Source organism: Homo sapiens, chromosome 2 (assembly GCF_000001405.40).
Source record: "Homo sapiens chromosome 2, GRCh38.p14 Primary Assembly".
Taxonomy (NCBI): domain Eukaryota; kingdom Metazoa; phylum Chordata; class Mammalia; order Primates; family Hominidae; genus Homo; species Homo sapiens.
The window spans coordinates 134,213,935-134,237,786 of NC_000002.12; the positions used below are offsets into that span (position 1 = coordinate 134,213,935).

At 41.2% G+C, this 23,852-nt stretch overlaps 1 protein-coding gene and 1 pseudogene across 17 annotated transcripts in view, besides 2 other annotated features; both read left to right on the forward strand.

Moving 5' to 3' along the window:
- MGAT5 (alpha-1,6-mannosylglycoprotein 6-beta-N-acetylglucosaminyltransferase) overlaps nucleotides 1–23,852 on the forward strand; it is a 334,687-nt gene that overhangs the window by 94,000 nt on the left and 216,835 nt on the right. The window lies entirely within an intron of this gene.
- Nucleotides 4,042–4,111: a silencer, noted in NCBI's record as "silent region_11976". NCBI's record gives its function as "represses an Ori minimal core promoter by ATAC-STARR-seq in GM12878 lymphoblastoid cells {active_cell/tissue: GM12878}" and the evidence as "EXISTENCE:reporter gene assay evidence [ECO:0000049][PMID:35858748]".
- Nucleotides 5,016–5,085: an enhancer, noted in NCBI's record as "active region_16547". NCBI's record gives its function as "activates an Ori minimal core promoter by ATAC-STARR-seq in GM12878 lymphoblastoid cells {active_cell/tissue: GM12878}" and the evidence as "EXISTENCE:reporter gene assay evidence [ECO:0000049][PMID:35858748]".
- On the forward strand, nucleotides 17,261–17,378 carry RNA5SP104 (RNA, 5S ribosomal pseudogene 104; annotated as a pseudogene).

A 23,852-nucleotide genomic window follows, 5' to 3' on the forward strand; every position in this document is an offset into this window, starting at 1 on the left:
CCACCCTTTCTTCCCTCCCCAGAGATTTTAGGGGTGGGACTGAAAGTTCCAATCCTCTAGTCATACAGTGGTCTTTGTGGTAGCCAGTCCCATCCCGAAGCTATTTAGGGACCTCAGCCACCAGTCAATAGCATACAAAAAGACATTTCTCCCCACCCCACCCTATATTCCTAATACAAAGCTCCCTAAGGCCTTCATAATTTCCCAAGTGATAGGATGAGAAGAGTGTCTTTTGTTATAATATTTGGTCTTACTCCCTAGTTCCCTTCCAAAGAGCTTCCAAGACCCTTGAAAGCTCTATAGCTAGCTTGTCCAACCCATGGCCCAAGGGCTGGCTGCCTTTCTTTCCTCTAAGAAAATGAAGTGAGGGGCATGCAAAGTGATGCTTTTACCCAAGTCAGCAGCAAAGACTTCCTGAAAATAAAATGCAGGAGTGTTCAATCTTTTGGCTTCCCTCGACCACATTGGAAGAAGAATTGTCTTGGGCCACACATAAAATACACTAACGATAGTTGATGAGCTACAAAAATTGCAAAACCAATCTATGTTTTAAGAAAGTTTATCAGTTTGTTTTGGGCCGCATTCAAAGCTGTCCTTGGCTGCATTTAGCCCTTGGGCCATGGGTTGGACAAGCTAGCTATAGAGCTTTCAAGGGTCTTGGAAGCTCTTTGGAAGGGAACTAGGGAGTAAGACCAAATATTATAACAAAAGATACTCTTCTCATCCTATCACTTGGGAAATTATGAAGGCCTTAGGGAGCTTTGTATTAGGAATATAGGGTGGGGTGGGGAGGAACAAATATTTATGTCGCAACCTAACAGCCAACGAACATTTTAAGTCATTGAGGTAACTTAGTAAGCAAACCAGTACCCTTGATTTTAGTTTTAACTTTCTGATATGTATTATATCAGAAAAATACACATCCCACATGTAGAGCTTGATGAGTTTCAAATGGACACCCACCTAACCACCAGATACACAGAGCATTCTCAGCCTTCAGAAGCCCCCTCATGTCCTCTCTTCCAGCTTCTACCTCTACAATCCCCACGCCTCAATCCTGACTGTTTTAGCACTCTGTATAAACTCATAAAATGGAAACTATTTTATGTTTGCTTTCTTTTGCTCAGTATTATGTTTGTGAAATTCATGTATATTGTTGCATGTAATCATTCTCATTGCTGTATAGTATTCCATTGTGTGCATATACCAAAATTTATTGATCCACCCATTCTACCGTAGATGGGCATTTAGATAATTTCCAGTTTTCAGCTACTAGGATTAGTGCTTCTGGAAACATTCTAGTATATGATATACACATTGCCATTGAATGGTGAACATAGGTACACATTACAGTTGACTCTTGTCTTAGGCTGTTAGGTGTTGCTATAATACAACACCTGGGACTGGATAGCTTATAAAGAAAAGAGGTTTGTTTGTTTTTTTAGCTCACAGTTCTGGAGGCTGGGAAGTTCAAGACTGGGTGGCTACATCTGCTCAGCTTTTGGCGAGGGCCTCATGCTGCATCAAGACGTGGTGGAAAAATGGAAGAGGAACAGGCATGTGTGGAGAGGGACCAAACATGAGAAGGGATTTGGCTTTATTAACAACCTGCTCTCAAGGAAGCTTATCCATTCTCAAGAGATTGAGAACTCAGTCACTCTCTTGATACTGCATTAATCCTATTCATGAGGGATCCGGCTCCATGACCCAAACACATTGCAACTGAAGTCAGCTAAACTTCCTTGTAAGTTTCAGCCAGTAAATCCATATCCAAACCATAGCAAGTATATACTTAGAAGTGGGATTTTGGGATCATGGGGGTACACATGTTTAGCAATATGAGATACTGCCAGTTTTCCTAAGCAGTTGTATCAATATATAATTGTACCAGCAGTGCATGAGAGCTTCCTTCACTCACATCCTCTCCATGGTTGGTATTTGTCTTTTTCACCTTAGCCATTCTGGTGAGTATGTAGTGGAATTAGTCTGTGGTTTTAATCCCATCCTTTATTTTTGATTCTGAAGGACTTGGTTATCTGCTTGGTGCTTTTAATGGACTCTAATCTCCACTGTCTTTAGACGGTGACCTTAGAAAGGCATTATTATTAACTTTTCAGAAAGGCTGATGTGTTCCATTAGATTCCATCATCTCTCAGTGGTTCTGTAAGAAGCTGGTAAAGTCGGTGTCTTGTACTGAATTATATTCTGCTCTCACCATATGTTTGGTTTGTTGCAGTGAGATCAGCAGAAATAAGGAACCAAGTCCAAATGAGGCGAGCTTAATTTGAGCTAGCAGAATTTATTAGTATTAAACCGGGACACTTATAGTTCTATACAGGGCCAGTCAGTGGGTGAAAGATGGCTAAGTCTGAAGCTTGTTCATGTTGTCGTCCTATGAGACCGAACTTGATTTTCAGGTTTTGAGTGGGAAATTCCCATGTTGTGATCCGATATACTTCCAGGGTAGAGAATGAAGAAGAATGAAGGTGAAGTAGTTTAAAACCACTTGACAACTGAAAGCACAGCCATTGTGTTTCTTCCTTACCATGGAGTCCAGGTTTTTCTGTTTGTTGAGGCAATTTCAGGATCTACAGAATTTACTGTGAAAATCTTGAAGGAAAATGAAAGCTTGACTAGGAAATAGGGCTGGCACAGGAAGCATACTAAAGAAACCCAGGTTGCCCTGTGTGATGGCGAAATGTGATTCATCCTCGAGCTGTGTTCCTGAGACAGTTCACACCTGACATAGGAAGGTGATTAATGAAGATGAATTTGGTATCAATTTTTATGCTGCTACTTTTGCCATTTCTGCTCTACCTCTAGGGGTGATTATTGTGGTTTCTCAGGTGCCCAGTGAATGAAGCAGGTGAGAGTGGGATCCTGAGCGGGCTGGGGAGATGTGACTATTGCTGTGCTTGAGAGTTAAGAGCCATAGGAATAGATTGGCGCTCTAGTCTGCACATGACAGGAATCTGGCTTAGCATAGGGACCCTTTTGTCAGAAAATAAAGCCATGATGGGCTTGGCAGAAGACTATCTTTAGTAAGATAACGGAATGCTGTTTCCTAGGGCTGTGGTGGCCAGTTTCTCATAAACTATCTCTGTGGATTGTAGATGGAGGTTGTTCCAGGAGGCTGGCAGGATCCTTAGGGGCCCCATGTTGACCATACCTAGCATGGTGTTGGGTAAAAATTTGTTAAATGAAATGTGGTTTTTGGGTATGATTTTCATAACTTACGCTATTGCTGGTATTGCAAATGTGACTTGAGCAGAAGGGATGAGTGGGGTCTGAGGGAGAGAGAGTGGTGTGTGTGTGTGTGTGTGTGTGTGTGTGTGTAAAATATACCAAATGTGTTTTTGTAGCTGAAAGGAAGGAAATACATCTTTTTTGAGCACTTACAAGGGTCTGGGCTGTGCCAAACCTTTGGACTTTCATGTTAAATTAACTCATTCAATCTTATTTGAGTTTTCATTGTATGTATGTGAAACTGAGGCTCACGGGGCTTAATCTGCTAGACCAGAGTTACCTGAGAAAGCAGGTGTGGGTAGCTGAGAACTGAACTTGAAAGCCACCGTCAAGAGGAAATACATCATGGAAAGACACTGCATTGGCTGCCAGTGCAGCAATTAACCTCAGTAGGAACATTCATTAAAGTCCTTCATTTAAGAAGTATGATTGACTTTGGGTGATTTCCCAAATAGATGGCTGTAAATAAGGTTGGTTTTGTTACCTGGGCTTTTTCATTTTAGAAGACAAGCCCTGGGGCTCACCTCCTGCTGTGGATTTCTGACTTACAGTTAGAAAAAATAAGACTGGGCTCTTATTTGGTCCTCTTCTGAGAGAAAAGGACTGTTTAGTTCCACCAGATGAGTCCCTGAGGGCAGAAGACCATGTCTTTTGTATGCTAGATGTGAGTACAGTACTAGATGTTTAAAGATGTTCTTATGCCTTGCCCTTTCCTTAAAGGATTTGACATCTTCACCAAAAATTGAGATTCTTTGAGAGCTGGTTCATGTGACAGATGATGTACATAGGGGGAGAATAAGACAGGTGATTAATAAACACTGCTGTTACTATTACTGGCTGGCAGAAGGTGTCAGTGGAAATGAGAAGCAGGTTCTTGGTCCTACTCTTCCACTTTCCTTTTCAAGAAAGCTTAAGTGAGTCACAGTGGTATAGATGAGGGTGATGATGAATCTACACTAACTTAATCACTTGCAAAATTCAGAAATACTTTGTGCAAATGCCCCCACAGCAGATCTTGATGTATCTCGACTTGTTGCAACACCATGTTTAAGAACTGTGGTTCTCAGTCTGACACAGAACAAAGACTCATAACCCCAGCCTCCTAGGAACTTCACTATCATAAATTAGGCTGTTCATTAATTCAACGTATCAGTTAACTGTTACCACATGACACCCTGTCCCAAAACTTAATGGCTTAAAACAGTAAGCCTTCATTGGTGTTCACTAGTCTGTGGGTGAGTTGGGTCGTTCTTTTAGTCTTAGCTGGGTTCACTACTGATGCAGGGGGCAGGGTGAGGGGTCAGGCTGCTGGTCTCAGCTGGGCTTTCTTATGTATTTGAGGGGTAGGCTGGCTGGATCTGGTCTAGGATGGGTTCCACGGGGCTCCCTTCCACATGGTCTGCCGTCCTGTGGCAGGCTAGCCCAGGCCATCTGCTTGGTTCTAAGAAGGAAGTAGAAGCATGCAGTACCTTTGGAGGCCCAGGTTGGGACCTGGTGTACTGTGACTTCTGCATTTTATCAGCCAAAGCAAGGTGCAAGACTAGCCCAGATTCAAAGGGTAAGGATATAGACTTGTTGATGGGAGTTGCTGTTGAGTCTTATTGCAAGGGGAATGGGATACAGGGAGACTCTTAATTGGGACTATTCATTCGATTAGCCTGCCACATCCTTTCTTTTATTCATTGATTCTGTTATACTTCACGTGGTTCCTTAAGCAATGCTTCATTCTGTTGTTCCATTCTTTACTAATTAAAACTTCTTAAAGGCTGTGTATCATTTACTGTCCATAGTCTCTGGGAAAGCCACAGAGATGAGTAAGATCCCAGTCCTACTTTGCAGAAGTTGATAAGCAAAGGGCCAGGGGAGATGGACATGTCAGTGGCCAGTAATTAGAGAATTTGAGGAAGCCCAGGGAGGTGTGAGTGCGGTGGAGTGGGCTGGGAACCCAGAGGAAGTAGCAGCGAGCCACCTGTCGGGGTGCAGCGGCTTCATCAAGGAGGAGCTCAGTCACCCAGGAGCAGGAAATGGCTGAGCGAGAAAGCAAGAAGAGAGCACATGTGGCAGGTGCAGAGGGGCCCAAGGTGGGCAACAAGGCTTGTGTAGCTGCTTCTGCAGTGCACAGTTTACTGTAGGGGTGGGAGTGGCAGGAGACAAGGCTGGAAAAGCCCACCTGGGCCAGGTGGGAAAACCTGCTGTGAGAGCTAAGGGGCTCAGATGTTTTTGATGGCTAAGAAGGAAGTTAACAGGATTCTTCTCTCTCCCATGCCGGTGACTCATCTACTTTAACGAACAGACAGTTCAATTATTGCACCCTAATGCTTTTTCCTCACCAGAATGAGGAAGCCGGGATAGTATAGTTGTGTGAATTCCAAACTGTCCTGAGGTGCCCCGGAGTGCCACAGCAAAGTCACAAGGCTGGCATGGGATATTTTAAAACTTTGAGGAAACACAGAGAGACATCTGTCAGGCACCACTTAACCATCACTACTAAGTTGTTGGGACCTAACTACTCAGTAAATGGAGCTTTTATGAGTTCTTTTAGGAGATCCTGAAAAAATTACGGAATCACAAAAACACAGTAAAGTGGGAGTGTTTGAATTTGGGAACTTCTGGTGAAGTTGTTAGGAGTATTGGTTTCAAATCTTGTTCCTGCCTCCTGTCCCTTGAGCGAGAGAGTTACTTTCTTGAACTTTCTTGACCTGTTTCCTCTGTGAAGTGGAGATGGCACTACTCCCTTACTTGGTTGAGTTATTGAGAGGAACAACTGAATTCATAGGAGTAAAGGAATTTAAATGGAGCTTGGCACAGCATAAATACTAATATTAGCATTATTAAGTAATGCCACAGTACCTGGGCTGTTGCAAGTTCATTATCTTGTGAAGGCAGCAAATGCATGACATACGTACCCCTGTTCTTGGAAGGAGGACCAGCAGAGTAGTTGAGGAGGCTCAGAATGGTAAGTAGGACTTTATATTCTGCATGAAATTACAGTGTAATAGTGTTGCATAGCTGTATGCTCTTCGATGGAAAACTAGTTCTTCGCCAGCCTCTCATTTCAGGAGACTGCATTTCCAAATGCAGCTCTAGTTTCAGAGTAGTGTCCTTGGGCACATTCACTCCGTTTTTCTTTCCCATGTATCCCCCACCCCGACCAAATGAAATGACCTGTCTCTGCCATAAATGGCTCAGATAAAAGGCACACAAGATGGTGTCTCTGCCTTGTTTCCTGCACTAATGGAAAGGAGCAGGATGGCCCAATAATAGTTGTTGGGGTTGGTGGGGGGATGTCTCCCGCCAGTGCCAGGAAATCTGCTCCACACACCAGGAAGGCTTCAGTCTGTAATTAAGAGCTGATTTGTGATGGCTTAGCCAGCCCATTGTGCCCCATCTACATTTGGTCTCCTCTCTGTTTTCCTTAAGAGGGCCTCAGATTACACTGGGTTAGATTTTCTGTCCTTAGTGCGTATGTGTATGTGTATGCACGCTGCTGCTGTTTTTTGCTTTCTGTAGCAGGGATCAGCCTTCTCCCCTCCTCACCCTCCTCTTTCCTTTGCTCTAGTCTGTGTGCTCGCTCTTGTCCAGGGAACTTCCTTTTTTATCTTCACGTATGTTACTGACTCCTCACTCTGACTTATAGCAGGCAGTTAGCTGTGGCCTCATTGCTCATTCTGATGGTGTTCTTTTTGGATTCTGCCAAATCTCTTTCGCATTTGTTTTTCACCTCAGTACTCCACGCTGTCAGCAGTTCAGCAAGCCCTTTCCAAGCTAATTTTCCCCCATTTACTTTTTAATTAGTTTTCTTCTCCTGCTTCTCCACCCCCTTGTCCTGCAGTTTTTTGTGGATAACAGTTGAGAGCCCCACTCTTTCTTATGTGATTTTTAAGAAAATGTGGGTGTTGACAAAAAGAGTCAAACTCTGTAAAATATTTGAAGAGATTTATTCCGAGCCAAGTATGAGTGACCATGGCCCGTGACACAGCCCTCGGGAGGTCCTGAGAACATGTGCCGAAGGTGGTTGGGGTACAGCTTGGTTTTATGTATTTTAGGAAGGCAGGAGACATCAATCAAATACATTTAAGGAATGCATTGGTTTGGTTTAGAAAGGCAGGACAACTCAGAGTGGGGACTTCCAGGCTATAGGTAAATTTAAACATTTTCTGGTTGACAATTGGTTGAGTTTATCTAAAGACCTGGGATTAATGGAAAGAAATATTCAGGTTAAGGTAAAGGATTGTGGAGACCAAGTTTTCTTGTGCCGAAGAATCTTTCAGCAGACTTCAGAGAGAGAGAGAGAAAGAGAGAGCAGGTTGTAAAATGTTGCTTATCTGACCTAAAAGGATGCCTGGCTCTTAGTTGATTATCTCCTGGGAAAGAAGGAAGGAAGGAAAACAAAGCGGAAAGGGGATTCTCTATAGAATGTGGATTTTTCCCACAAGAGACTTTGCAGGACGATTTCAAGGTATGGCAAGGAAATATATTTTGGGGTAAAACTTTTTTATTTTCTTGCTTGTTATGCCAGAGTCAGAGTGGAAAGTTAAGTCACTATATACAGCATCAAATAAAACCCATCTGGTGAGAATCTAGGCCCAGGGACAAACGCAGAAAAGGTGGGCACGTAAGATTGTAAGGTCCGGTTTGAGGAATAAAATTAGGACCTTTCAGACAGGAATTTGGGCAAGATAAAAAATCAGAGCTTAGTCCTCAGTCCCCCACTCTTAGCCAAAAATCATTCCACAGAAGGCCAACAGCAGCAGGTCCCATGGCTCTAGGAACGCTCATTCCTGGAGTTGTCTGATCTGGTCATTTGTCCAGGTCCCACGGTGCTAGAAAGGCTTGTTCCTCTGATTTGATGGTAATAGTTTTAAATATTAGCGATTTGGATAATGGGGAGAGGACATGCTCTGACCTGAGGTAGTAGCCAATTCTTTAAGAGGTGAGATGGAGTCAGGCCTAGGGTTTAGTCTAAAACAATCCTGGATCAGATCTATTTTCTGAGCTATCATGATCTGGGTCTTTAATTGTGCCTTTCCTTCTGCTGTATCTGGCATAACATTTACAAGGAATGTCTAATGTTAATATAGTAACAAATATCATAAAGATAGTGAAGATGTGGGCGTCCAGGGCTATAGGTAGAATCTGAGGGCAGTAAACAACCCAATCAGCCAGAAAAAAAAACCCCTGCGTGCATCATTATATTCTTTGATTAGACTTACAATGTGTTTACCCTCCTTATTAAGGGTTATTTGAATTCTATGATATATCTTACTTGAAAATTGTGGGACCAACATTTAATTAGAATTTAATAAATTTAATTTCTTTTCCAGCCAATTTATCTCCATAGGTATAGTATCCTGAGGAGGGTATAAATTAAATGCAAAAAGTGCCTGGTCCTTGGTGTTTAAATTGTTATAGACTTGTTAACAGTAGACAAATCTATTTTTCCCATCACTTTTGTATTGCACCATATACTAGTATTTGGGAGAGAAAAGCTTTTGTCACAGGAGAAGTCATATAATTCTGCAGTGTTATTTTTTCCTCCGCAGGACTCCCTATGGCTGAGGGCTTTAAGAGTCAAAAGACTTAGAGCCAATTAATTGTTCTAGGCCATATAGGAATGGATGTGGACAGGCATGCATTACTTCTTAAAATTATTAAGTAAAAACTGACAATAAAACCAAAAGGCAAAGTTAAAAGACTGACTTATTTTTAACTTTTTTGTGTTAAGCTACTGTAAGCTTGGTTTCTGTTAGACTTACAGCAATTAGCTATACAAAACATAAGCATTGTTCTGAAAAATAATTAAAAATATGTATATTATATATCTATATCTATATTTATCTTCACAACTTATAATTGGGAGTATTATAACCAAGAGGCTTTGTTACAAAGTATTTTATCCTGTTAGTAAATATTTTCCCTTAATTTTATAGTAAGCAGAAAATTTTTATGGCTGGGGTGGATGCAAAAGTGACACATCATAGTTTAGAAGGCAACTGAACTTGTTTTACCAGCTGTTTAGGCATTTTTTGTACCCCCTTCTTGATTTGGAGGGTTTGATCTTGTCCTAATTTTATTCCTCAAACCGGACCTTACAATCTTACGTACCCACCTTTTCTGCATTTGTCCCTGGGCGTAGAGCAGGGTAGCTCCTATAGTTTTAGCAACAGAGCATTAGCAGTGAAACAGATCCGGGGCCAGTGGGATGCCAAATGAGGGAGATCCTTATCTCTAGTCTTCAGAATACCATGATTTTTGTTTTCTTGGAAGTAAAACATTTATATTTTGACAGTTATAAGAGTAATTTGTATGTTAGAACCGAAAAAGGAACCTCTTCCATTAGGGCACCAACTAAAAATGTGAAGAAAAATTATAATCTGCTACTTTCTAGAGGATTATTGTAGCCAAGAAATAATGCTTTAATCTGCACTCAAAAAATTAGGGCTGAAATCTAGTATTAAGTGTTACGTTTTACCCTCGAAACAGTTTTTAAGCTACCTTTTTTTATTAAAGAGAATATTATAGCAAGGCCAATTTATGTGCAAGGTTAGTTTTAGCCTTATTATGCTTGCCTGATGAATACTTATATAAAATGCAGCAAGAAATTTTTTGACTGGCCATATAGACTCCTTTTAAAGTTGGTTTTGCTGAAGCTTTACCTAAAAATAGGCTATTTTAGTTTCAGTCTTGGTAAAATAACCAGTGTCTCCAATTGTTTAAAAAACTGTTATTGAACTTATACAGACAACTATATTGTCATAAAATTACAATCTGAATTTTGGAGAACTCAGGTAAATTTGCTTACAAAAACATACTTTACCCAAATAACTTAAAAGAAAAAGATTTTCTTGACTCTTCTTTAACCAGAGCAGCAGCTTTTAAAACAAGATGTTTGTTTAACTTGGAAATGCCATTTACAAACTGAACATGGGTTTGAGCAATGCTCGTCATGGCATTTATTTATTGTTCCCAAGGTTGTGGGTTTGTCTTGACATTTGGGGTTTTATTCATCTGTCATCTTGCTTAGTGATAGATACAATATGGGTCCTATTAGCAGGCGTTTCATGATCTGTGGGAAGTTTCCAGAGCGGTACTTGGTATCTTCCATAAGTATTAGTCAGAAAGGATTTGTGTAAAGTGCTATGAATGAGTGATAACCTGTGTCTTTAAAGTATGTCTTCTGGAAGACAGGGAGGGAGCTTCCTTTTATAAATGAGATTGGGATATAGTCAATGAAACACCTAAAATGTTAAACCTTTAGTATCCGTGAATTTTGAGGGAGAAGAGTGTTTATAGCTTTTACTTAAACACTGTGGCCCCCAAATATTAGGATCTCCGGCCTGGGTTATTTAGAAAGCCCTTGAGAGATTTGAAATGATAATGAGTGATCTGAAAGAAAAGGATAGGAACACACACCTGTTTCTTTTAAGAATAAAGCCTAGGCACTTGGAGTTACACCAGTCTAGGTCTCCAAAACTATGACATCCAAAAAAAGCTATGGTAGAGAGTTTTCTGCCTGTACCAATTCTTACCTCTTAGGGTTGATTGCTAATAGACCGTTAGACGCTTAATGGAATAAAAGACAAAGATCACTGGGTGCCTTAGGAATTTCCAATCTAGGCCAGGCATGGAGGCTCATACCTGTTATCCCAGCACTTTGGGAGGCCAAGGTGGGAGGATCACTTAAGCCCAGGAGTTCAAGACCAGCCAGGGAAACATGGGGAAACCCCATCTCTACAAAAAATACAAAAAATTAGCCAGGTGTGGTGTTGTGCACCTGTAGTCCCAGCTACTTGGGAGGCTGAGGTGGAGGATTGCTTGAGCCTGGGAGGCGGAGGCTTCAGTGAGCTATGATCTTACTGCAAGCCAGCCTGGGTGACAGAGTGAGACCCTGTCTCACAAAAAAAAAAAAAAAAAAAAAAAAATGCGGTGGAAATCGGGGGGGAATTTCCAATCTCAAGGCACCGCATCAGGCTCTGTCCTCTGTGACAAGAGCTCTGCTAACTCAAGGAATGTGGTGTCCACTGCAAGGAACAAAGGTGGTTATGGGTTCCCACTGGTGCTCCTAGATCCTTTGTTCTCAAGGGTGGGCCAAAAACTGGCAGTTTCAGCAACACCTGGGAGCTTGTTAGAAATGCAGTCTCCTTAGGCCTGCTGATTCAGAATCTGGATGACCAGATCCTCACACGAGTCACACAAGAGTGATGTTCAAGGAGCAGTTATAGGCTCAGCCTGTTTCATGGGCAGCAGTGGTGGCCACATCTTAGAGGGATTGTGTTGTGGGCATGGTCTTGCCGTGTTTTAGTTTAAGTTCTGATTTTCTATCATTTTTTTGATAAATTCTAATACAAAGTGATCTAGTTATATATCCATATGTCAGTATGTGATTTGGTTTTTTACCTTTCTGTGGGTATTCACGTTCAAGTGTATAGATCAGGAAAAGAATTCTTTATTATCTTCCATGAGGTCTCAGGATGGGAAGATAACAGTGCCTGTTGTATACAGTCATTATAGGACATGCTGGAGATAGAAGCAGTAAGACACTGCTTCTACATTTGATAAGTCTGGTCCAGGGAGATAAATATGTAAAGGGAAAACTTTATCTCAATAAACTACATCTCGTGATAGCATAAGGGACCAGAGAGAATAGCCTGTAGTTCTTTATCCCACTGCTGGGGTGTCACTAACAGTGTACTAGGATAGATGGACAACTTTATATGATAAAGACAGTTTTAGAGCTTTACGAGACTTTTGACCTCTTCTGGGAGCTGTCCTGATTCCTCTTCAAACCGAATGATAGCACCTTTTGTGTGTTAAGTAGCCTAAACAGTCATTTGTTTAGTTACCACCTGCTGGTGTGTAGCCTTAGGAGAAGAGTGTTTACTGTTGAGTGGTTGTTCTGCTCTGCCCCTTGGCTAAGGATTCCTGCTTTCCATTAAATGGAATGACTACCCTCTCTTTTTGTCTTTGAACTCAAATGGAAGTCATGTTATCTTTACATCTTTAAAGCTTTTCCTTCCAAATTGCCTAGTTGATGCATGGTCACTAATCCTTGTAGTAGAATTAACCCTAATTGAAGATTTAGCAGGTGGATTTTGGCTCTCATAATGCAAGATGTCTTAAGAATTTTGCAGAAGAGAGATGCAATAACCATATAACATATCTCCTTTTTGTCCATAAGTATGGAACAAAGACTATGTGGGAAACCAGAGTGTTTGCAATCAGCCTATTGCCTTTTCTTAAAAACTAGAAGTTCTTTTTCTATATTTCTCTCTGCTTGCTTTTACTGTATTCTTTTTCTATGTTTCTACTTGCTTTTACATACTCCTTTGCTTTGGTGTCATAAACTTGGGATGAAATTGTATAGTTATTTACTAGCTAGGTGGGTTTTGGAAGTTCATTCTCTGAACCACACATGTAAAATGGGAAGCAAATATTTCAAGATGATGTTAAGAATGAAACGAGCTAGTGTAGACAGAAAGTCTGGTAGAGTTCATGCAGTCATTTACTTGATTTGAGCCCCTAGCGCCTAGCAGGCACAGTTCCTGGGAACTGTATGCTAGGCAGTGTGTTGAAATATGCTTACAGATAAAAACGGACATGCCCTGCTCTTATGGGGTTTATGGTTCTTTAGTACATGACTAAAACACCAGCAGGGGCTGGGCAGGTCACACAGGCATGTAAAGCAGCCTGCATGGGTTCTGTGGCAAATTGGAAAGCCATGCCCCAATTCTTCATTCCTGCCGAAGTCTTCTCACAGGAAAATGGTTCTGTGGTACCAGATAGTCCTATTTTTTTTTTTTTTTTGGAAAGGCCAGAAACTCAGATTTTTATGTGAAATCTCCATTTTTCAAATGTTGGTAACTAATAAACTTCCTAACCTCTGACTTCTAGTTTAGCATCAAATACCAAGGGTATATCCTTATCAATGAGTGTAACTGGTGTTGTGTTCTCTCTGGCCCATCAATGATAACACAAAGAATGGCTCCCATCTGCCATCCCATACTCTTTCCCACTGAAAAGAGACATCCTTGGGCTCTGTATTTCAGGGCTTTGCCTCTTCTCTCCTTGTGAATTATGGACTGCAACAGTGAGAAACTTGACCCTGGGGTGGCTCCTTGTCTTTGGGGAAACAAATAGTTTAAAAGGCCCATACTGGATTGAGCTCTGGGTATTGTCTTCTTACTACTCTGTTTTGGTTGCTCCTTCCTCTTGAGGCCAAAGATGAGAATCTGCAGTGGTAAGCTTCAGAGACTAGCTATTCCTGGCAGGTAGGACTTGACTTTTTACTCATTCACTGCAGAGTTTAGCATGTATGAGCACTCAAATACTGAGCTACAAATTATTGCCTAAAACAAATAAAAAATAATACCTCTCAAACCTCTTTGTTAGTATGGGTATAGGCTGTATTCTGGAAAAGGTAAACACTAACACATATCTACTTACCTTTGAATTGCATTGCCCATTCCTGGGTGTGACCTTGGGAGGGAAAACTTTCTCAAGAAGGGAAGGCTCTTGGTTTACTCTAGGATCCTCTTCAGCTGTGATTTTCTTAGCATCTTGTATGGACTCAAAAGAGTTCTGGTTCGTGGCAGGTAGGGACCATTGTATTCTTCAGACCGTTCATGAGCTTTGGAGTGGCAGCTGGTGGTGGTAATGAGATGGTTTTGGCAATAGCTCTGGGGCAGAACAGGTGGAATGAGCCACATTATTTTACCTAGACAGGGCTGGTTGGCAGGCTTTTCACTCACCTGCCAGACATTAGGTAGACAGAATGCACCCTTGTTTAAATACTCGAGACAGTGAGAAAATATCAAGACTCAAGGAGATGATTTCCATATGAGAATTTTACCACAAAATGGGACAAATTTTTACAGAAGGAGCAATCTTTTTGATAAAAGAGGAAAGGTGGGGATCCTCTTGTCGTCATTTTAAGGCATAGTTTCAGAAGGTCACAGCATTTGTGTGAGACCAGTCACAGGAACAATGTGTGTTGGTGATGAGTGTGTGACTGTGTGTGTTTAGGAAGGTAGAAAAGAATGGGTGCAGTGGAAAGTAAGGTGTTTCTTGGAAGGGGAAAGTGACAGATTTCACAGGAAAGTTGAGAGTTGTTCTTAGCATTGTAGATGCTTAAATGCTTAGAGTCTGCCCTTGGCAAATTATAGGGTAAGAAAAGCCCTGATAAAAATCCTTATATTTACTTTTGGTGCCCTAGTTGCCTAAAAGGTCCTCTAGCCAGAGAATAAACAAGTGTTTTTCTCCCGGATAAATATCTGACATTTTCCAGATGTTTTTGACTCTAGTACAAATGCCATTTATTGATTTATGGCCTCTCAACTTCACCCCTTTTTCTTGCTCTGTGAAAATGGATCTGGGCCTCTTGAATATTTTTCCTTTGCAGCTGGTACAATGTTAAGCTTTTCCAGTAGAGGGCGCTGGAGAAACATTGCAGAAGGCAGAGAGTTTTGCTTCCTGCTTTCCAGTGGTTTCTGGGAAGGCTCTTCCAGAGTGTGTCCTCTCTGGTGACCTTCTTTTATGATGTGTGGTGGCCAGCAGCTTCCTCTGGCACCCCCTTGGGGTGTCTTGTAGCGGAGTGTTGCCAGTGTGCTACCTCCCTGTGATCAGCTTTCCTGCACCATAGAGGGCACCACAGTGACTTTTCTGCCATCTAGTGAGTTGTAGTTGTGTCTTCTCCAACAAAGTCAGGGTCTCAGTCCCCCACCTGGTTATTTTCATGGATGTTTCATCTTCTTCATGGGTGTTTTCTCAGTCTGAGGGATAGTGGTTACTCCTTATATCTGGCCTTTCTGTATGATCTAGAGTTCCTTGCATTACTTCTTACTAGTCAACATCTTGTTAGCAGAATCCCAGGTTGTAGTTAATAATTGTTTATGTTAAGCTTTTCCTGTTCAAATTAGTATGTTTTCCATCTGCTCATTGAACCCTAACTGATAGAACAAACCTTACAAAAAAAATATCAGGAAAAATTGTGGAAGACTCAGAAATGGGCAAAACAGATTAAAATCTAATGCAACCTTCTAGGTTATCTGTGTCTTTCATTTTCTTTGGACTGATTTACATTTTGGCAAGTTATAGGAAAGTGATAGTAATGGAAATGGTTCTTGTTCATAGAATGGCACATGAATTTTGCCCAGTAGAGGTATTATTGATCCCTCCCAAAAAGCATTTTATATATTAACAGATCGGCATTCCTGATTGCCTACACACATGTGTGTTTCGTTTTCTTTGGACCTGTTTTAACATCTTTCTGGTTCCTGTATTAATTAATCAGCTAAATAAGATCTTTGCCGTGTTTATTTTATATTTGTAAAAGTCATAGTTTTATGTTTTAAAATATTCTATAACTGATAAGGAGCTTACAGGATATGCCCATATATGTTAAAAATGCCACAGAAAATGGAGATATGATTTGTTAGAAAGATGATTTAAATGCATTTTAATGCTTTATAACTGGACAGACATGGATGAAATCATCTTATGAACTAAAAAGAAAAAGTATCACTATTATGTATCGAAAACAGAACATTCATAACATACCCACAGAATGGGAGAAAATATTTGCAAATAATATCTGGTAAGAGACCCGTATTTAGAATATGTAAATAACTCCTACAACTCAGTGACAAAGACAGATGAGCCAATTAATAAATGAGCAAAGGATCTGAACAGATATTTCCCCCAAAAGAAAAACAAATAATCAGTAAGTACATGAAAAGATAAGATGCTCACTCTCTTTAGTCAGCAGGAAAATGGAAATCAAAACCACAATGAAATAGCACTTTACATCTGTTAGGATGGCTGTCATCAAAAAGACAGATGGGAAAGATGGGGGAAGTGAAGGATAGGGAGAGATTTACTAAAACAGCAGCCCCCAAACTTTTTGGCACCAGGGACTGGTTTCATGGCGGATAATTTTTCCACGGATGAAGGGGTTGTTTTGGGATGAAACTGTTCCACCTCAGATCATCAGGCATTAGATTCTCATAAGGAGTGTGCCACCTGGATCCCTCACATGCACAGTTCACAACAGGGTTTGTGCTCCTATGAGAATCTAATGCAACCGCTGATATGACAGGAGGTGGAGCTCAGGTGGTAATGCTCACTTGCTGGCTGCTTGCCTCCTGCTGTGTGGCCCAGTTCCTAACAGGCCAAGGACTGGTACTGGTCCACTGCCTGGGGGTTGGGGACCCCTGTGTTAAAGGATACCAAATTACAGCTAGATAGGTGAAATAAGTTCTAGTGTTTCATACCACTGTAGGATGACTATAGTTAGCCATGATATATAGTTTCAAATAGGATATTGAACCTTGCCAACACAAATTGTAAATGTTTGAGATGATGGCTATGCAATTACCCTAATCTGCTCTTTATACATTCTATGTATTAAAACATCACTATGTACCCCTTGACTATGTACAATTATTTGTCAATTTAAAAAATTGTTAAAGAGACAAATAAGTGTTGGCAAGAATATGGTGAAATTGGAACCTTCATACACTGGTGGTAGGAATGTAAAATGGTGTAGCTACTGTGGAAAACATTTTAGCAGTTCCTCAAAATGTTAAATACAGAGTTATCATATGACCCAGTAATTCTACTCGTAGGTATATACTCAAGGGGAATGAAAACACACACACACACACACACACCCATCAAGTCATACACAAACGCTCATAGCAGTTTTATTCATAATAGTATCAATTGATGAATAGATCAACAAAATGTGATGCATCTATTCAATGGAATATTGTTTGGCTGTAAACAAAATGAAGCACTGATATGTGCTACAACATTGGACCTTGTGAAAGAAAGCTGTCAAAGAACACTGCATATTATGATTCTATTTATATCAAGTGTCCAGAATAGGCATATCTATAGAGACACCAAAGTAGAATGAGTGCTTGCTTAGAGCTGGAGTGGGGAGGAGGAGGGGTTAGGAGGTGGTAGCTAAAGGGTGTGGGTTTCTTTTGGGTATGATAAAATGTTATATGAAATTCTCTACAGCCACACTACCTTGAATGTGTCCAATCTGTTCTGATATTGGAAGCTAAGCAGAGTTGAGCCTGGTTGGCACTTATATGGGAGAAAAGTTATAAAGCTGATTGTTGTAATGCTTGTACAACTCTGAGCCCAGTAAAAACCATTATATTGTATATTTTAAGTTGGTTAATTGTATGGTATGTGAATTATATTTCAGTAAACTGTTACAAAAAGGGTTTATAACCTAGACAAATAATTATCAAATAAACTGCATTCCTCTGTGGTGGGTGGTAAATGCTTCCTGTGTAGCAATGTACAAATTCCTATGTCAAGATCTTCATAGGCTGTCTTGATGTCTTCTCATGTGGAATTCTTCCTTTCACTTTGGAACACCATTTCTTAAAGAGATTATGGCAAAGTGAAATAATTAGTTGCTTGATTTATTGATGGATGATTTCCCTCATTCACCCTCTGGAGTTCTTTTAATAGAAATGTTAGAAACCCAGACCCTCTAGAACCTGTGGGGAGCAGCTTGGTTGAGTAGCTCTCTACCCACTGGAGGTATTTGGGGAAAGATCACTGGGTTTGTGGCTGGCTGTGAAAATGATCAGACCAGGGCGGGGCCAAGTGGCTGACATGGCTGAGTAGTGGCTGGTCCTTCTTGCCTGCTGTGCCGAGTTGTCTGTCCCCTGGTACTTTACACCCAGTGAGTTGAGGAAGAAGGAATTACCTCTCTAGACAAAGATCGTTCTGTCTGCAATATATGATATAGTACTATTGCTCTGTGGAAGCTTCAGGCAGCCATCCTCCCTCACAAACCAGCTCCTCCATTTTCCTGTCTTGGTGAATGACATGTCACCTTTTCCTCAGCTGCCCAAGCTGGAAGCCTAGTGGTCATTCTATACTCCTCCTCCTCCTCCTCGTCTTCCCTCATTCCTTCCAGTTAGTCATTGCCCACTGTCCTGCTGATTTGACCTCTTAAGTATTTCTAGCATTTGGTTTCTTATTATGACTGGACTGCCACTACCCTGTTCAGGCCTTTATTGGACTCATTTCTCACCCGGATTTTCATGAGCCACCCTTCAAACCCATCCTCTACACAGCAGCCAATATCAAATATGGTGGCCTCAGCACTGTTAAATGTCTTCAGTGATTTACCTGCCATTTGGTGGTGGTTCTTACTCAACAGGGGAGGAGTTTCAGATCATCTAGGAACCAGAACCCTTTTCAAAGTATTTAGGTGTATATCCTATTCTGGACCCATTAGCTGAAGAGGGGCCTTGGGAAAGGGCTTCTACATCTTGAAAAATCTCCCCAAACAGGATGATACCCAATAAGTAATGCTTAGAAAACAATTTATTTTGAAATAATTTCACAGGAAGTTGTAAAAACAGTACAAAGAGACCCACGGACCCATCCTTCCCCAGATTTCATGCTCTGTTACAATACCAAACCAGGAAGTTGATACTAACAGGTTACTGTTAATAGACCACAGACCTATGTAATGTTTTTTTAATGCCCATTTTTCTTGTTAGGTTGGAGTGTGGCACTTCCTGCTAACCTGAGATGTTAGATTATTTCTTAACTGGTGCACATTTTCATTTAAGAATGGCATGGGTCTTCTTGATTCTGTGGGTGGTGGTTGTTATGGTGTGTTATGGTGTGTCTTCTTGTATGTACATGTGTGTGAGATATTGGTGGCAATTACCAGTTTTTCCTTGCAGAGTGAATTATATCCCCAAAGAGTTTGCCAAGAATACATTTGAGTAATGTAATTCTGTCTAGTGACCTAAGGTCATAACTTTCTTAAGTTAAAAAGTTAAAACTGCCACAACAGGTTTTATGCTAGAAGAATAGTATAGACATTGATTCTTCTTGAATCCAAGATTCAGTTAGCTTAAAATGATGTCATCGTGAGTTGTTTTCCAGGTATGTGTAAATCTGACTTTGTTTTTTGTAGATTGTAAAATATAAGGGTACAGGGCTGGTTCTGTGTTTTATTTTGTTTTCTGTACTTGTTTTATTCATAAGTCTAAAATATAGTGTCTACCAGGGAATGGCTCTATGCAATGAATCACAGTGTAGTTTTGCTTTGAGAGATGGGGTATTACTATGGGTCATAATGAATTCAGTGGAATGGATTTCAGACTTTTAGGTGCTGACCCAGAAAATTCTTTGAAGTAGCAATCTTTACCAATGCTAGGAATTGGGCTAGTCTGCTTTGCTTCCTCATCAAAACTGATGGACAAGATAGAAAATGCCTTTTTATCAGTTACAGTAACATTTTGCTGACACTTGGTGCATTTTTTTTATGTGTTTCACACAGATATGCTTACATCCTTTGAGAAAAGGAACTGAAGGGAAGAAAGAAAACCACAACTGCTTTAGAATAAAACTAGGTCAGCAAAGGCAGATCTTAATGTATTTAGATCAGGCAGAAGGCTAGGTCCTTCCACCTTACTCACAGAGGCCTCTGGGGCTCATTGTAGGAGTCATGAGACTTCTCCAGTAACTCTCATCAAGGATCGGTCACTAGACTAGGCCCTTTGCAAATTTAAACCCTGCAGGTAGACATTTTACAGATAAGGAAACTGGATCTTCATTTCTGTAACTTCAAGAGGGCACAGGGCTGGCTTATGTCAGTGCAGAGATTTTAATCTGAATCTAATTCCCAAGCCTCTCTGCCACACCAGATTGCCTCTCTATTCATGCACAACACTCTAGGTTTGACTCTGGCTCTCTTGAATAATTCCGAAGCAGACTTCTAAGAGAGGATTGCAAAGGCCAACTTCTTTCACAGCTGAGAAGCTGCCTTCTGAGGTGTATCTCTGAGTGGAGAAATCAGAACGCTAGATGCTATGTCCTTTCATGATGGGTAATAATCTCATTAGAGCAGGGAGACTTTGTGGTCTAAAGAGAGAAGGAAACAGTCAGTTGAAAGTTGCTCATGTGTTTCATTTTTCTGTGTTTCTCATACTTTGTTATTGATGTGATGAAGTAGTTGGGGGCTGAGAAGGAAGCCGGGGATTGGGGGCAGGGGTTGGTGGGAGTCAAGACTTACAGGTTCTTCCAAGAGACTCCTAGAGCAGTGATGCCTATAGTTTGCAAGGGCACCACCAGCAGCCATCTTTATTAACCAAGGGGGCTACAAGGACTTTTCCCAACAGATATTAAGTAGTTAGTTCACAGAAAGATTTGAATCTCTTCCTTCAAGAAGTTTGAGTCTCAACAGGGAGCAGATCATAAAGCTAAAAGTCAAATGTATGTATATATCAAGAATTATAAGACTATGGGGGTCCATACATAAGACACAGCAATGTGGCTCTGTCCTTCAACTAGGGTGACCAACGGGGACAAGTTTGTTCACCCTACCTTGACAGTCTTTGTGGCCCTGGGCAAGTCACTTAGGCTTTCTGGATTCTGAGGCCTGCTTCTCTCTCACCAGGTGCTTTTAAATTCCCTTCGTTTCTTGGGATTAGCAATAAGGTGTGACTAAGTCACAAGCTTGTGTTGGGTGGTGAATGAGGGCTGGAAGCCAGTGCTCAGAATCCTTTGAAAGTGATTAGCAGAAGTCAATATTTGAGAACAATACCAGCTGCTGTTTAGAAAGTCCAGAATAGTTGAGCAATTAGGATAAAGTAACAGACACCTGTCATGAGGTGGACTGAGCAGGTGAGTGAGATTGTAAACTGCCTTCAATTCAAGGTCTTGTATATTTGCCTCAGTCTTTTTATAAGACTCCCCAGCTTCAAGTGCTTAGGGTGGTGGTTGTAAGGAAGGTTGCAGATGCGTTTTATTTGGACCACCAGAATTTTTTTTTTAATCTAAATTAGCACCAGCATTTAAGAATACACAGATTTGACCAAAACTCTGGGTTTCTGGCTTCTTTGGAAAATTGGAAGATCTAGCTAACCCAGGCTGTCTTAGCTCAAGTTGTCTGGTGGTTAGAGCTGAGAAGTGGCTGCCCTATCAGAGGGGTGCCTGGTCTTTGGTTCAACACAGCCCCTGTCTCCCCTGCCATGCTCCCCGACCTCATACCTGTTTCTCTTCCCTCAGTACCCTTCTACCCACTTATCTGCCTGGGAAGGTGGTTATCTTAGATCAATAGTTCTCAACTCTGACTGCACCTTAGAGTCTCTTGGGATTGCTTTAAATTATACTGCTTTCCTGGCCCTGTGTAGACCAATTGAATTATGATCTTGGGGAGGGCTACCATTTGTATTTAAAACGTCTTCCAACATGATCGTGATACCCAGTGAGGGTTGAGAAACGAGTACCTCAGCTTGATCCTTGGGTGGGTTTTGATGGAGAGAGAGAAGAGCCACAGAGCAGAGGAATTGAGGAAAATAACCTAACCCAATCGACAGGGCCGGTAACACCATGAGCTAAATGTTAACTGAACACCCTGGGAAAAATCAGGGCACTTTAAAAAAATGAATATCCAAATGGTGTATTCATGGCACGTTTTGCTAAGGTATTAATAAACTCTCCCCACCCCAGATCCTGCTGTACTGCTGTAGGGATTTAAATCATTGTAATAATAATAGGGGTTTTTTTTTTTTGCATGGAGTGATTATAGAAGTATTTTTAATGGGCTTATAAATCTAGTGGTCATGAGAGGCAAGTGACATAGATTTAGTGTATTTGAGGCAAGGGATAAAAGGGGAGGGGGCACAGTCAAATTAGCTTTGGTTTTCTGTTTTGCATAATGACTTCATTCATCTATAATTCTCACTGTAACTCAGTTTCTGTCTTGCTCCCCCTCCCCTTCCTACCACGATCACATTCTAGGCTGTGAGTGTCATCATTCTGAAGTAGTGAAAACATCCAAGTAGCTGGAAAATACAGACCTGTTTTTCTCAGTTAAGTTGAAAATGGAAGAGCCTCAGACACCACCTATTTCTGCTGCTTAATTTTATGGGCATACAAAACCAAAGTTTTGAGATGTGGCTTGTTCAAAGCTCTGCCCCTAGCCCTGTAACTCTGCGCAGTGTTCAGAGTTGTTCTTCACGGGTCCCATGACTGCAGAGAAAGCTTGGAGCTTGCAGGCAGTGGTTCCAGGAACTTCTTTTTCTTCACCTTTTATTCCTGGTGTTTAGCCTGGACCTTGAGATTAGTTGGAGAGATATGAAGGGATGAGACCCAGTTTAGGCCACAGGATCTCCATGAAACCTCTTGAGGCTTCTCTGCAGCCCAAAAGAGTCTCTGATATGGTTTGGCTGTGTCCCCACCCAAATCTCATCTTAGTAGTTCCCATAATCCACATGTGTCGTGGGAGGTAATTTAATCACAGAGACGGTTACCCTTATGCTGTTCTCATGATAGTGAGTTCTTACAAGATCTAATGGTTTTATAGGGACCTTCCCCCCCCTTTTGCTTGGCACTTCTTGCTGCCACCATGTGAAGAAGGACATGTTTGCTTCCCCTTCCCTGAGGCCTTGGCAGCCATGCTGAACTGTGAGTCAAACCTCTTTCCTTTATAAATTACCCAGTCTCGGGTATGTCTTTATTAGCAGTGTGAGAACAGACTAATACAGGGACACGCCAATAGGGCCCCTGATTTCAGCATGTTCTGGCTGCTCTGTGGGAGTGGTGGTGGGTGTGTGCATGGTTGGAGGATGTTTCTAAGTGCAGGGACTCTGTCTTGTACCCTCAGTGTTTTCTCCTCAAAACTTTAGCATCATTGGGAGCACCCAGTAAGCCCCTTCCATGAATATTTGTCTGATGAGGTTGCAACTCTCTAGTTGGCCTCTTATCACCCTTTTATATAGTTTTCATCCTGTGGAAGATACTCTAATGTCACTTTAATATAATTGCAAGAGAAAAATAGTAAGATTTGATATCTTTCTAAACTAACAAATGTGCTAGTAATCTCTCCTTTTCCTCAGGATAGCCTTTGCAAGTTTGAGGTAGGTAGGATAGGTAGGTTATGTAGAAGGAGTATATGTGTGTGTGTGTGTGTGTGTGTGTGCGCGTGTGTGTGAATTTTTACCCTCTTGGTCTGTACTTGGCTGCTGAGCCCTAAAAGAATTGTTTTGCTCACTGCCTAAATTTTACTTGTGCCTCCTAATGTCTCTGAAATTAAGTCCCTCGTGTGAGACTTCCCACTCAGCCATTCTGGATTCTACTCTCTGTCATGGGAGGCAAGACACCTCCTAGCAGAGATGCTCCACTGGCTGGGGGAAGGATATAAGTAAATGTTTGCAGAATAATCTGGGAAGTTTTCTTTTTAAATTTCCAGATATAAACCAAACCTGCAATGACAAAAGCAGTACTGGGGGAGGAGGATAAAGGAGAAACTGCTTTTTGAAACATTCCCCAGGTGGGAATTCATAATACCTACCTGGCTCATTTGAAAATAGCTGACTAGCAGAGTTTCCTGGATGAAATGGGGCAGAAAGCCTATCACTCAAAGGAACTCAACTTATATAAATGATTTAATTCTTTTTTTTTTTTTTTTGAGATGGAGTCTTGCTCTGTCGCCCAGGTTGGAGTGCAGTTTTTGTTTTTGTTTTTTTTTTTTTTGAGATGGAGTCTTGCTCTGTCGCCCAGGTTGGAGTGCAGTTTTTGTTTTTGTTTTTTTTTTTTTTGAGATGGAGTCTTGCTCT